This window comes from Homo sapiens, chromosome 7 (assembly GCF_000001405.40).
Source record: "Homo sapiens chromosome 7, GRCh38.p14 Primary Assembly".
NCBI classification, from domain to species: domain Eukaryota; kingdom Metazoa; phylum Chordata; class Mammalia; order Primates; family Hominidae; genus Homo; species Homo sapiens.
The window spans coordinates 774,320-788,580 of NC_000007.14; the positions used below are offsets into that span (position 1 = coordinate 774,320).

The 14,261-nt window shown below is 54.9% G+C and overlaps 1 protein-coding gene across 3 annotated transcripts in view, besides 1 other annotated feature; it reads left to right on the forward strand.

Annotated features, from left to right (window-relative positions):
- Nucleotides 1-12,156, forward strand: part of DNAAF5 (dynein axonemal assembly factor 5) — a 59,777-nt gene extending 47,621 nt beyond the window's left edge. For 2 of the 3 annotated variants that reach the window (NR_075098.2, NM_017802.4), the window contains exons 11-13: nucleotides 687-843; nucleotides 5,634-5,825; nucleotides 11,198-12,156. Coding sequence is in view for 2 of the 3 variants with exons in the window: in NM_017802.4 (NP_060272.3) it covers nucleotides 687-843; nucleotides 5,634-5,825; nucleotides 11,198-11,334 (486 nt within the window). In the remaining variant the exon portion in view is untranslated. The remainder of the gene's footprint in view (nucleotides 1-686; nucleotides 844-5,633; nucleotides 5,826-11,197) is intronic. The other variant, XM_024446813.2, reaches the window with a different exon arrangement.
- Nucleotides 7,488-8,687: an enhancer, noted in NCBI's record as "CDK7 strongly-dependent group 2 enhancer chr7:821444-822643 (GRCh37/hg19 assembly coordinates)". NCBI's record gives its function as "activates an origin of replication core promoter dependent on BRD2, BRD4, P300/CBP, MED14 and CDK7 cofactors, with strong dependence on CDK7, by STARR-seq in HCT116 cells {active_cell/tissue: HCT116}" and the evidence as "EXISTENCE:reporter gene assay evidence [ECO:0000049][PMID:35650434]".

The following is a 14,261-nucleotide window of genomic DNA, read 5'->3' on the forward strand; positions in this document are numbered from 1 at the left end:
CGTACCCCAAGAGGCTCTCCCCACACTGGCGGCGGAAGGGCAGGAGCCGGCGGCCGGGCTGCGGTTCAGACAGCAGGCGGGAGAGCGGGAGCCAGGCCGCGGGCCCAGCCAGCCCGGTCGTGCTGCGGGTTTTGCAGCCGCTCATGAGCGTGCGGTTTCTCGGTTTCCGGCCCAATGCTGGCTGCAAGACCAGGAGTCGAATCCCAGGATCCAGGCCAGAGGACGGGCCTGGGCTTTCCGCATCGTTTCTATGAACACCTCCGGCTGGTACCAGGTGTCAGAAAACAGACACTGATGCCCGCCCGCGTCCTGGTCGCCGCCCGGCGGGAAGGCGCTGCCCTGGGCGCCCGTGCAGCATCAGCGCCACCTCCTGGTGCACGCGGGGTGGTGCGGTCGGTGCTCCAGCCGAAAGCCCCACGTCCTTGGGGCCCAGGCGAGCCATTACCCTGGTTTAGGGTTAGTGCCTCACCTAGGAGTTGTGAACAGTGTGCGTATTTTCTAAAAATCAAGTAAGCAAGTTAAAAATTGCTCAAAATCTAAATTTTACAATGAAGATTCAAGCCTACTTTTTAGGTAAAGCTTTCAAGCCCCCTAAGTCCTTCCAGGCAGGAGTGCACGGATGGTGAGCACCCCCACCCCACCCCAGGACAGATGTGAGTCACGTCGTATGTGTTTGCTGATTGCAGATACGGGACGTGCAGGAAACACTGATGCCCCAGGTCCTGACCACCCTGGAGGAGGATTCGAAGATGACGCGACTGATCTCATGCCGTATTATCAACACGTTCTTAAAAACCTCGGGCGGCATGACGGATCCAGAGAAACTCATCAGGATTTATCCTGGTAGGACATTTCTGTTGTTCACAGCCTGTGTATATGCAGTCAGCCCTCCGTGTCCCTGGGTTCCGTTTGCATCCATGGAGTCACCCAAACTCAGATCAAAACTATCTCGGGCTGGGTGTGGTGGTTCACACCTTTAATTCCAGCACTTTAGGCAGGAGGGTTGCTTGAGCCCAGGAATTTGAGACCAGCCTGGGCAACATAGCCATACCCCGATCTCAACAAAAAATTTAAAAATTAGCCAGGGCTGGTGGCACACACCTGTAGTCCCAGCTACTCAGGAAGCTGAGGCAGGAGGATCGCTTGAGCCCAGCCTGGGCAACAGACCAAAACCTTGTCTTTAAAAGTAGGGGTGTGTGTGTGTGTGTGTGTGTGTGTGTATGGCTACATATATACATGTTTGTGCATTTATACATACAAATACAAATTTGTACTTACATTTGCATATATAAATATGTATGTATTGGGGGGCAGAATTCCACAGTTCCAAAAAGCAAAGCTTGAATTTGTTGGGCACCAAGTACAACGTTGAACCCGCATGAAGAAAGCATCATGTACACATTGCATTCGGCCTTAAAACAACATTGGACCCTCGTGAAGGAAGCGTCGTGTGGACGTTGCGTTCTGCCTTAAAACAACGTTGAACCCACGTGAAGGAAGCGTCGTGTGGATGTTACATTTAGCGTTAAACGTAATCTAGAGACAGTTTAAGGTGTGCCGGAAGATGTGTGTGGGTCATGTGCAAATACTATGCCTTTTTTTATCAGAGACTTGAGCATTTGAGGATTTTGGTATCCTAGAGGAGGAGGATTCCTGGAACCAAACCCCACAGATACCAAGGGACGACTGTATTTAAGTTTGATGGTGGCTTGTTTTATAGAAAAAAAGCAGAAAACGTGGCCGGGCACGGTGGCTCACGCCTGTAATCCCAGCACTTTGGGAGGCTGAGGCAGGTGGATCACAAAGTCAAGAGATAGAAACCATCCTGGCCAAAATGGTGACCCTGTCTCTACTAAAAATAAAAAAATTAGCTGGACATGGTGGTGCGCGCCTGTAGTTCCAGCTACTCAGGAGGCTGAGGCAAGAGAATCGCTTCAACTCAGGAGGTGGAGGTTGCAGTGAGCCAAGATCGCACCATTGCACTCCAGCCTGGGTGACAGAGCCAGACTCCATCTCAAAAAAAAAAGAAAATAGAAAATGCTCATCTTTGACTTCTGTTCAAGTTGGTACTATGAGAACAAACAGCAATGACAGATGAAATACCACAAATTAAACGGCACAGCAAGAAGCAAGGCAGAGGTCTCCAAACCAGCACTGGGTGGGGGTGACAAGGCTCAGCTTCCACGCGGCCGGGAAGGGGGACCTCAGGGTGGGGCGGCTGGAGCTGCCTGTGGGGAGACGGGGCCGGGCCACCCTGCAGCAGGACCAGGGGCACAGCCTCAGTGTCGCCGCCTCCTGGAGCCCAAACCCCAGACCAACCCCAGGTGAGAGCAAGCACTGGGGAGGGGAATGGGGTGGTTGGCTTGAAGCCCCCGAAAAGCAGCAGCACTGAACAGAGTCATGAATTCAGAGAGCCCCTCACTCAGGGCAGCCTGCACACAAACCCCTCAGGACAGGGCCCCCGCCACCCAGGCCATGGGCCAGTACCTGTCCGGGTCCTGTTAGGAACCAGACTGCACAGCAGGAGGTGAGAGGTGGGCAAGCGAAACTTCATCTGTGTTTACGGCTGCTCCCCATCTTTTGCATTACCACCTGAGCTCTGCCTCCTGTCAGATCGGCAACGGCATTAGATTCTCATAGGAGCACAAATCCTATTGTGAACTGTGCACGCGAGGGATCCAAGCTGACGCTCCTTATGAAACTAATGCCTGATGATCCGTCACTGTCTCCCATCGTCCCCACATGGGACCGTCTAGTTGCAGGAAAACAAGCTCAGGCCCCCACTGATTCTACAGGATGATGAGTTGTAGAATTATCTCATTATATGTTACAATGTAGTCATAGAAATAACGTGTACAATAAACGTAACGCACGTGACTCATCCTGAAACCATCTCACCCCCTGGTCCATGGAAAATTGTCTTCCATGAAACCAGCCCCTGGTGCCAAAAAGGTTGGGGACTGCTACCTCAGAACACCGAAGACCCGGCGCTAAGGGCAGCCTCGCACCCAGCCCGGGAAGGAAGTGCCGATAATAGAACCACCTCAAAGTTACCTTTATTGAGGCGTGTTTAAGATCCTCAAAAAGCTAAAAGAACAACATCCACTAAAAAACAAGTTGAGAAACAAGAAGACAAGCAGGAATAAAGAACAGATGGAAACGGAAGCGATCGCTGGGAAGTCCGGAGTGACACGGAATGGTGTGCTGGCACTACTTTGAGGAAAGGAGTTACCCAGCGAGGGAGAAAGGGGATGGGGTGGGCGGGAAGCGGCCACTCAGGCGTTCCTGATTAGCTCTACTTAATGTGATTATCTATATTTTGTGTATTTATGCCAGAAATGTTTAGCAGTTTTTAAAAGATGGTTCTTGCTAATTCCCGGAAATGAATGGAGTCATCGGAACTTCACACTCTGTGTACTGGGTCAACTCTAGACTGAATGTGGCTGAAAACAAAGTTAGTGACGTGAAAGCCAGGAATGTGGAATTCCTCAAGATCACGAGACAGAGAGGGGTGCAAGGCCTGGAGTGGGCGAAGGACACGGGACGGGGAGGGACGCGGGGCCTGGAGCGGGCAGAGGACACGGGATGGAGAGAGGTGCCGAGTGGGCCGAGAGGCTCCCGGGCTTTTCTGAATCCCAGGAGAAGAGAATGGAGGAGAGATGGTGCCTCAGAATCTTCCAGAACTGGAGACAGACATGAATTTTCAGATTCACAGTACACACGGCGCTGGGCAGAAAAACCGCCGCCTGCTGAACTCTGAGGTCCGGGGGCCTTTGTCACTCATTCTCTCACCTTTGCTTTTCTGTTTTTATTCTTTAGTAACAAACATCCTGTTCCCACTGACTCTGGAACAAGTTCAGTCCATGCGATTGTTGGGAATTCACTCACTTTTTAAAACAGGAGCTGGCGGAAAGGCTGCACGCGTTTGGGCATCTGAGCGCATTTGGGCATCTGGGCCACGGCCCCCTGTTTATTTTCACTACAAAAGGTTCCTTGAGAGGCCCCTTGCCTATTAGTGCCAGCTCTGGGCTTCCCAGGGTGAAGTGTTGGATGAATCATGGCCTCCTTGGTGGGGAAGGAAGGATGTCCTGAGTTGGGAGCACAGACATCCAGGCCTCCCAGGACAGACAGACACAAACATGAACAGCAGACAGGCCAGCGTGAGCCGATTCTGCCTGGCTTAGTCGTGCATGAAAGGAACCCTAAACTGGTACAAAAGTGGACCTGCAGGCCATCCAGGGAGTGACCATCGTAAAAACACAATAGCCAGTGCCACTCTGTGTACTTCCATAGTCGACCGCGCCAGCAGGAGGCCTCGGAGGATCCTGTCCGGGCCCATAGATGTTTGCTAGCGGGACAAGCTTGGGTGAGTTGAGCATCTGACTCCGTCCTTCCTCCTGAGACACGTGCAGCGAGGGCACCCACTGTGCAGCGAGGGCTCCCGCCGTGCAGTGAGCATACCCCCTGTGCAGTGAGGGCACCTGCCGTGCAGTGAGCATACCCCCCATGCAGCAAAAGCACCCCCCATGCAGCGAGGGCTCCCGCTGTGCAGTGAGCATACCCGCTGTGCAGTGAGGGCACCTGCCGTGCAGGGCTGCTTCAGGGTTTGGCACCATAATGCCTGGATGTGCTCCGTGGCTTCCTCCTTGGTGCCTGTGTTTGGTGGCTGGAAGGCCCAGCACCCTCAGGGCCCAGAACCCTCAGGGAAGTGCCTGGGCATCTGCCAGGAATTAACCCACTGGGTCCCACTTGTCTCAAAGCCTGGCTTGGTAGGATGGCCTGAACTTTGGATGTTTTTCATGCCTTTCGTTACATAGGATCCTCTTGCTGAGGGTGGATCATGCCCTCCACATTGCAAAAGCATCAGAGACCCAGCCCACCCTCGCGTCTGCAGCGGGAAGATGGGCCTGGTGCCAGGCGCGGGCAGCCGCCCCTCCCAGCGTCGGGAAGATGGGCCTCATGCCAGGCATGGGCAGCTGCCCCTCCCAGCGTCGGGAAGATGGGCCTCCGGGTGGTTTTGCGACTCAGTCATCTGCGAATTTCCGGATGCTGCACAGAAGGGGGTGCCAAAGTTTTTTTAAGATGATGTAAAAAAAGCATAAATTTGATAAAAATTATGTCCATTAACCTCATAAGTTTCTACCCATCGGGAAGGATCATCCTTCTGTTTTCAGCAGCAGAAAACTGACCACAGTAGGGGGTTGTCTGTCACTGAGTCCTCAGCTCTGGTGGGAGGGCAGGGTCAGAGCTGGGCAGGGTGGCCAGCTCGGGGATCTGAGCATCTGGGAGCAGGAGGTGGAGGGCCAGGTGAGCACACAGCTGCGAGGAGGTGGAGGACCAGGTGAGCACACAGCTACAGCTACAGGGAGGCTCTGCGCCTGCAGGACAGGTTATTACAGGGGCCGCAGCAGGGCCTGGGCCGCCTCCACTCTGTTGGCTGGGGTTCAGGGGTCCCAGGTCGCCAGGAGCACCTTGCATGTGGCTCGGGATGCACGGAGTCTCCCGTGAGGTGTGGGTTTCTTAGGACCCCAGGGCAGGTGTCCCATGGGAGTATGAACTAAATGCCTTTGTGGACGTTTAGACGTGAAATGTCTGCTCTAGACTCACACACCTGTCTCGCTCCCTCCTTCCAGAACTCTTAAAACGCCTAGATGACGTGTCCAACGATGTGAGGATGGCAGCCGCCTCCACCTTGGTCACCTGGCTGCAGTGTGTCAAGGGTGCCAACGCAAAATCCTACTATCAGAGCAGTGTCCAGTACCTGTACCGAGAGTTGCTGGTTCACCTTGACGATCCAGAGAGGGCCATCCAGGATGCAATTTTAGGTGAGACTCCGACGGCTTGGCCTTCGTTCCGATGCCTGCTTTCGGCGCCTGCCACGGGCATCTGTAGCTGAGCCGTGTGACCGGCCACAGGGCCCTGGGGCACAGGAGGGGCCTCAGCTCCGGCCTGGCACACTCTTGAGTTCTTGGCAAACCCTGAGAGCGGCTGTCTTTGTGGTGATAGCTGCTGACATTTCCTCTAACAGAAATCAAAACTGAGAGTATTCTAGAATACTTGTTAGTTGTTTAAAATAACAATAGTAAGCCCAGTATATATTGACACAGATGGCTTGTGTTTTTGAAAAATACTTTCCAAAACAAAATCATCTGCAAGAACGATTTTTGCAAATGTCTTAAATGTGTAGCTTGATGGAAGACACTGGACTTTCACATCTTCCATACAGTCAGTCATGATGTGTATGGCTCTGGCTGAAATACGTGGAAAATAATCTGGCCTCGCCTGTGGCTTCAAGTGTAGTTGGACAAAAGAAGAGTATTTTAGTAGCCTTTTCAGATAGGCGTGGGACTTCTTCAATACCACGCCAACAGCGACACAGGCCGTCCCTTGAAGGTCACTCACAGCACAGGGCCTGAGGCCACACACCACAGAGCCTTCCACGCTCAGTGCATTAAAATCCGCTGGTCCATCTCACACTTGGAATGTAACGATTTGCTTTTTTTTTTCTTTTTTTTTTTTTTGTTTTGTTTTGTTGTTGGTGAATATAATGACGTTGTTCTTTTTTTTAATAAAATTTGTATTTTTAATTTTTGTGGGTACACATAGGTGTATATAAGGCATGTGTGATACTGTGATACAGGCATGCAGTGTGTGTAAATCACATTGGGGAAATGGGGTCCCCGTCACTTCAAACACTTACACTTTCTTTGTGTTACAAATAATTCAGTGATACTTTTCGTTATGTTTAAATGTGTGATAAATTATTGTTGACCATAGTCACCCTGTTGTGCTATCAAATACTAAATCTTACTCATTCTGTTTTTGTACTCATTAACCATCCCCACCTCTTCCCCCGGCCCCATTCCTCTTCCGAGCCTCTGGGAGCCATCCTTCTGCTCTATCTCCATGAGTTGAATTATTTTTATTTTTAGTTCCCACAAATGAGAATGTGCGGAATTTGCCCTTCTGTGCCTGACTTATTTCACTTAACATAGCGACCTCCACTTCCCTCCATGTTGATCCAATGACTGGATCTCATTTCTTTTGTGGCCGGATAATATTCCACTGCGTGCGCTCCACGTTTTCCTTCTCCCTTCATCTGTCCGTGGACACCCCGGTTGCTTCCACACCTTGGCTGTCGGAACAGTGGGGCATTCGGCGTGCGCGTGCAGCTCTCCCCCATAGCTGAATTCCTCTCTTTTGGGTATTTGCCCAGAAGTGGGATTGCCGGGCTGTATGGGGCTCTATTTTTAGTTTTGGAGGGACCTCCAGACTGTTCTCCCAGCGGTGCTCATTTACATTCCCACCAGCAGCGTGAGGGTTCCCTTGTCTCCACATCCGCGCCGGGACTTGTTTCCGCAGCCATTTTAACTGGGGTCAGAGGATGTCTCACTTGTTTCTATGTGCATTTCTCTGAGGAGCGGTGGTGGTGGGCACCTTTTCAGACGCCTGTTTGTCATTTCCATGCTGTCTTTTGAGAGCTGTCTGTTCAGGTCTTTTACCCATTTTTAATTGGATTATTAGATTGTCTGCTATTGAGCCTGAGCTCCTCATATATTCCAGTGATTAATCCTTGTCAGGCGGCGGTTCTAAGATACAGTCTCCCATCCCGTACCCGCGGGCTGTCCCTGCGGCTGTACTCTGCTCATTCTTCCCTTTGCTGTGTGGAAGCTTTGGGCCTGGATGTGCTGACTTTGCCTTTTGCCTCCTTTGGAAAATACTTAGACCTTCCCCGCGCAGCTGCGTCCGGTTTCCCGGCGTGGCTACATCCGGTTATGCGATGTCGGATCTTCCTGGTGTGGCCGCCTCCCGTCGCGCAGCGTCAGAAACTCGGATCTTCGCGGCGTGGCCGCCTCCCGACACGCGGCGTCAGAAACTCGGATCTTCCTGGCGTGGCCGCCTCCCGTCGCGCGGCGTCAGAAACTCGGATCTTCGCGGCGTGGCCACCTCCCGACACGCGGCATCAGAAACTCGGATCTTCCTGGCGTGGCCGCCTCCCGTCACGCGGCGTCAGAAACTCGGCTCTTCGCGGCGTGGCCGCCTCCCGTCACGCGGCGTCAGAAACTCGCATCTTCCCGGCGTGGCCGCCTCCCCTCACGCGGCGTCAGAAACTCGCATCTTCCTGGTGTGGCCGCCTCCCGTCACGCGGCGTCAGAAACTCGGATCTTCCCGGCGTGGCCGCGTCCCGTCACGCGGCGTCAGAAACTCGCATCTTCCTGGTGTGGCCGCCTCCCGTCACGCGGCGTCAGAAACTCGGATCTTCCCGGCGTGGCCGCGTCCCGTTACGCAGCGTCAGAAACTCGATATTCCTGGCGTGGCCGCCTCCCGTCACGCAGCGTCAGAAACTCGATCTTCCTGGCGTGGCCGCCTCCCGTCACGCAGCGTCAGAAACTCGATCTTCCTGGCGTGGCCGCCTCCCGTCACGCAGCGTCAGAAACTCGATCTTCCTGGCGTGGCCGCCTCCCGTCACGCAGCGTCAGAAACTCGGTCTTCCTGCCATGGCCACCTCCCATCCGGCGGCATCAGAAACTCGGACCTTCCTGGCGTGGCCGCGTCCCCTCACACAACGTCAGAAACTCGATCTTCCTGGCGTGGCCACCTCCCCTCCGGCGGCATCAGAAACTCGGATCGTCCTGGGGTGGCTGCTCTTGTTACGCAACGTCAGAAACTCTCCTGCGTGGGCACCAGGCTCAGAAGAGTCCGGCTTGTGGTGGCAGGGCCAAGCTTTGGCTCATTGTGATTTTTTGTGTGAGAGCTTGACTTGTATCCTCGGCCACAAACCCTGTCGGTTGTTCTGGGAGTGAGGGACTTGGGCCGTTCACTTTCACGCCGTGCTCTGCCAGATCCCGCGTCCGCACAGCCAGGGTGGGTGCACTGCTCGTCCGTCCGCCATTCTTCCTGGGAAAAGCAGCTCTGCTGCACGACCCTGGTCCTCCGTGTGAAGCGGTGCACCTGGTGCCCACTCGCGGGTGTAAGCCGTGTGCGTGAGGGTGAGTGTGGCAGGTGAAGCCGTGTGCTCGAGGGTGAGTGTGGCAGGGGGCGTGGGCCTCAGCTGCTCCCGCATCTGCGCAGGTGTGAGCACAGTGACGGGCAGGCCGGGCATGCTCTGCGTGCGACCACATGCCTGGCTTTGACTCACAGACCCTCTGAAGGGTCCTGGGGACCCCGAGGGCCTTGGAGCCCATGTCGGGAGCCCCTGCCTTGAGTCGTGGAATCAGGTTGTCAGCCAGTGAGGGAGCCCCAGAGCCCATTGATCCACGGCGGGGCCCGTGGTCTCTCCAGGTCACGGAAAGAAGCTGCGAATTGGAGACCAATTGGAAATTGTTTAAAAGGAGGACAGCAGCTCACGTGCAGGCCTCGCTGGGACAGCCCATCCTGCCAGATCCACGCAACGCCCCCAGCTCCCCACACTCCCTGGCAAATCCCAGCCCTGCCTGCGCCCTCCCAGCTCTCCTGTCCTGCACTACACACCATCAACCCGAGTTCTGAGCTTCTCCTACTCTCAGCCTCAGCCTCACTCGTCCTCAGGACCTTGCTCTAGGCCGAGGAGACCAGTGCCCCTGTGCACCAGCTCAGCCTGCAGCCCCGGCCCTCTCGCCTCCCCAGGACTGCACAGGGCATCTCCCTTCCCCACTGCACGGTACAGGCCATTCTTTCTCCTGTCTTTAAAAAAACAAAACACAGATGCCCTGTACGCCGCCCCCACCTCCCCCACCTCCCCCACCGCACATCCGCCTGGCAGCAGGCTCCCTGGAAGCAGCCCGCCTTACCCCTCCTCGAGGCCCTGGGCCCATGGCAGGCATCTGCAGCCGTCCACCTGCCTGCACCTCTGAGCAGCGCCAGGCACAGCTGGCGGCCACGCACCCTCCTCTGGCTGCGGGACGCCCGTGCTCAGTCTCTTGGTCTTTCCCTCGCCCATGTGGGCCCCTCACTGCTCCTCTGCTGTGTCTGCACCGCTCCCTCAGAGCTCTTCTCCTGGCCTCAGCTCCACACACAAGTGCAGCTGCCTGGTGCCGAACCCTGGGCCGCTACCCCCCTCCCTGACTGCCTGCCGGGTTCCGCCACCCTCAGTGGCTCAGTGGCCATCTGTCCTCAAGACTGAAGGCGGAGACCTTGAGGTCCTCCTGGACCCCCTCTTAACTCCCAGCAGAATCTGATAGACTCCCCAGCCACTGCAGCAACCTCCCCATCCTCTTCCTGCCTCAGCTAGACACGCCCAACCCTTTCTGGCCCCCACCCCTGCAGCTCCCACTGCCCCCATCACACACACCACCACGAGCCCCTGACACGTTTGCCTTCCTGATTTTCATCATCGGCCACTGCTTCCCGATGAACCCTCCGTAAGCATGGGTTCATTTCCGGCTGTGTCGGTGATGCCTGGCCCGTGGGAGGTTTGCAGTCACTGCGGCAGGTGAATTGGCATCCGCAAATTGGATAAGAAAGTCGCCTGTTTTTCTGAGCCTATTTGCTCCTGTGAAACCTGTTTCTAAGCCCAAAAATGCCACCTGAAGACTCTGCAGGACATCATTTCATGGTCTGCCCACAACTGCCAGGAGGCGATTTTCAGTTCTTTGAATGCACGTTGTGACTGCCGTGCACCCACCCAGCAGCATCAGGTTCCTCATATTCACATAGTGACCATGCAGCATCAGGTCACTTGTCCACGTTGTGACTCAGGTCATTCGTATCCACATTCTGACTGCCGTCCACCCGTCCAGAGTGTCAGCTTACTTATATCCACGTTATGACTACTGTGCACCCATCCGCTGCATCAGGTCGCTCGTGTCCACACTGGGACTGCCGTGCACGTGGCCAGCAGCATCAGGTCACTTGTATCCACATTATGATCGCTGGACACCCATCCAGCAGGATCAGGTCATTCGTATCCACATTGTGACTACTGGGTCCCCATCCAGCAGCGTCAGGTCATTCGTCCCCAGATTGTGAGTCGGGTCACTCGTATCCACATTGTGACTACTGTGTCCCCATCCAGCAGCGTCAGGTCATTCGTCCCCACATTGTGAGTCGGATCACTCGTATCCGCATTGTGACTACTGTATGTCCACCCAGCAGCGTCAGGTTATTTGCAGATGCTTTTACAGATGCTTGAACTTCACTACAAAGCCAATTTGCACGAGAGGTAAGATTGGTTTCATGTTTGTTTCTGGCATGTTCAAGGTGTTTTTCTGTTTTACAGAGGTCCTCAAAGAGGGCAGCGGGCTGTTCCCAGATCTCCTGGTGAGGGAGACGGAGGCCGTCATCCACAAGCACCGCTCGGCCACCTACTGCGAGCAGCTCCTGCAGCATGTGCAGGCCGTGCCAGCCACACAGTGACCACGCTGGTTTCAGCCACGGCACACCCTTGTCCCCACCTGAGCCAGAGTTTGTGGCCTTTAAATCTCATAAACAAGGCACCTCTGTGCCAGCAGTGAGACTGTGACAGCAAGAATGTACTCCTCAGGACACCTGCCCACTCTTTCCCTGGAATAACAGCCTCTGAGTGGATTCTGCATGTTATGTGATTTGTTCTGTTCATCGAGAGGGCTCCCAAACATCTGCAGCTGATTTGAAATTAAAAGTAAGTCGCAGCCGCTCCTCCCGCAGCCACTTCAGCAGCATCTTAGATTTTAAGCCTCACGTGCGCAGCTGGTTCATGAACTATTGGCTGCATCCTGCTTAGGTGCCCACCAAGAAGGTTTTTACCTACTTAACAAAAAAGAAAGAAGCCAAAGTGATTAGAAAGAAATGAAATCTCTTTTTGGGTTCTGTCTACTGAAATTTAATATCTCAGTGAACAGACTAAAAGGAATTTAGAATCCTAACAACTTATCAGATTTCTCCTGTTTTAAATATACTGGGACTTTAAAGGTTATATGTCCGGTCACCGTATGTTTTAAGTCGGTGTTAATGCTAACAGTGTTGAAAACAATATTTCATGAGATCTAATTGTGGTTGCCCCTATAGGTAGCAGGAAAGTAAAGTTGCATTTCCCTCTCGCACATTCTACACCCAAGTGCCTAAAAGATCTCATTGTAAGTGGGTAGTGTTACCGGAAGCCATTGTGTTCACACGGGGGAAATGCCGTATATATTTTTCAACAAATATTAACGTTTATACTTTCATGTTTGAAAATTTAATTAAAAATGTTTGTTTTAATGATTGTGTATGCCTGACTTTGTGAGTTGGTAACTAACCGACATGTCAGGCAGGGATCCCAGCCTCTAGAATTCCAGAGTTCCTCTGTGGGGTGTCGTAGTGCCCGCTCTGGACACCAGGGGGCAGGAGCTCCCAACACGTTCGGGGAACACCCCTGGTAAGGAGGGCCCCATAGGACTCACCTTGAGAGGGGCTGGGGCATCAGGGTGAGGGCAGGCCAGCCTTGGGGGGGTGTCAGGGTTGGGGGAGGTCAGCCTTGGGGGGCATCATCAGGGTGAGGGCAGGCCAGCGTTGGGAGGGGTGTCATGGTTGGGGAGGTCAGCCTTGGGGGGTGTCAGGGTCGGGTGAGGTCAGCCTTGGGGGGCATCAGGGTGAGGGCAGGCCAGCCTTGGGGGTGTCTGGGTAGGGGGAGGTCAGCCTGGTTGGCAGGTGGGGTGTCCAGGTGCAGAGAGGTCAATCTGGATGGGGGTTGGTTTCAGAGTTGGGGGACGTCAACCTTGATGGAGGGTGTTTTGTCTGGGTGGGGGAAGGTCACCTTTGGGATTGTCTGGGTGGGGGAGGTCAGCCTTGGGGGAGGTCAGCCTTGGGGGTGGCTGGGGTGTCCAGGTTGTGGGAGGTCAGCCTGGGGGGGACGCCGGGGTGGAGAGGTCAGCCTTGGGGGGTGTCTGGGTTGAGGGAGGTGAACCTCGGAGGGTGTCAGGGTTGGGTGAGGTCAGCCTTGGGGGGTATCTGGTTTGGGGGAGGTCAGCCTTGTGGTGTCTGGGTTGGGGGAGGTCAGCCTTGGGGGGTGTCTGGGTTGGGGGAGGTCAGCCTTGGGGGGTGTCTGGGTTGGGGGAGGTCAGCCTTGGGGGGTGTCTGAGTTGGGGGAGGTCACTCTTGGGGGGAGTCAGGGTGGGAGGAGGTCACTCTTGGGGGGTGTCTGGGTTAGGGGAGGTCACCCCTGGGGGGTGTCAGGGTTGGGGGAGTTCAGCCTTGGGGATGGCTGGAGTGTCCGGATTGGGAGGTCAGCATGTATAGCTGAGCCTGCCCCATGGACTCACATCCCCTGCCCTAGACACCCTCGCCACCCTCTGGTCCCCTTCAGAGTTGCACCGTCATGGCTGTTCCCTGCGCCAGCTTCTGTAACTCGTGGCCACAGGGATTTCGGGGGCCCTCAGGGGTGGTCTTCCACCTCTTCCTTGTGTGCCCTTTGACCTCTGTGGCTTCTGCCACATCCTTGAAGAGCCCTCAAGAGCCCCTGGGTCGGTGGTCCTTGGTGGCGATGGAGCCAGTGGCAGCAGCCTCACCTGGAAGCTTGTTAGAAAGGCACATTGCAGGGCCTCAGGCCAGACCTACTGAGGCAGAGACAGGTGGGCCGCAGTCAGCCCTGCAGGTGATTCTGAGGCTGCGGACTGGGAGGACCCCCACCTGTGCACCAAGCAGTTCCCATCCAGCTCCCATCCAGCACGAGGCTCCGTCGTCTGTCTCTGTCACAAGACCCAGAAATGAATGGCAGGGAGCTTGCCCGAGAGGACACACGTGTGAGGGGCCCCTCGACCCCTCGGACGCAAGTGCACCAACCCCTGGGCCGTCCCTCGCCCTGCATGCTGGGGCCACAGCATGGGAAGAGACATCAGCGCTGCCGCTCCGTCTCTACACATCTGTAAAGGGAGCTCCCAGGGACCTGGCACGTCCACAGGTGCGTGTGTTCAGAGAAAGACGGAAACCCAGCCTACAAGGGTTCACAGACACCCAAGAGGCATTACGTCCCTCTCCACTTAATTCTTTGAAATGTTGATAGGCCGGGTGTGGTGGTTCATGCCTGTAAAATCCAGCACTTTGGGATGCTGAGTGGAGAGGATCACTTGAGCCCAGGAGTTCGAGACCAGCCTGGGGAACAGAGGGAGACCCCATCTCTACCAAAAATTTTTAAAATGAGCCGGGCGTGTTGGTGGCCCATGCCTGTAATCCCAGCACTTTGGGAGGCCAAGGCGGGCAGATCTCTTGAGGCCAGGAATTCAAGACCAGCCTGGACAGCATTGGGAAACCCCGTCTCTACAAAAAAATTTTAAAAATGAGTGGGCATGGTGGCGCACACCTGCAGTCTGAGCTACTCAGGAGTCTGA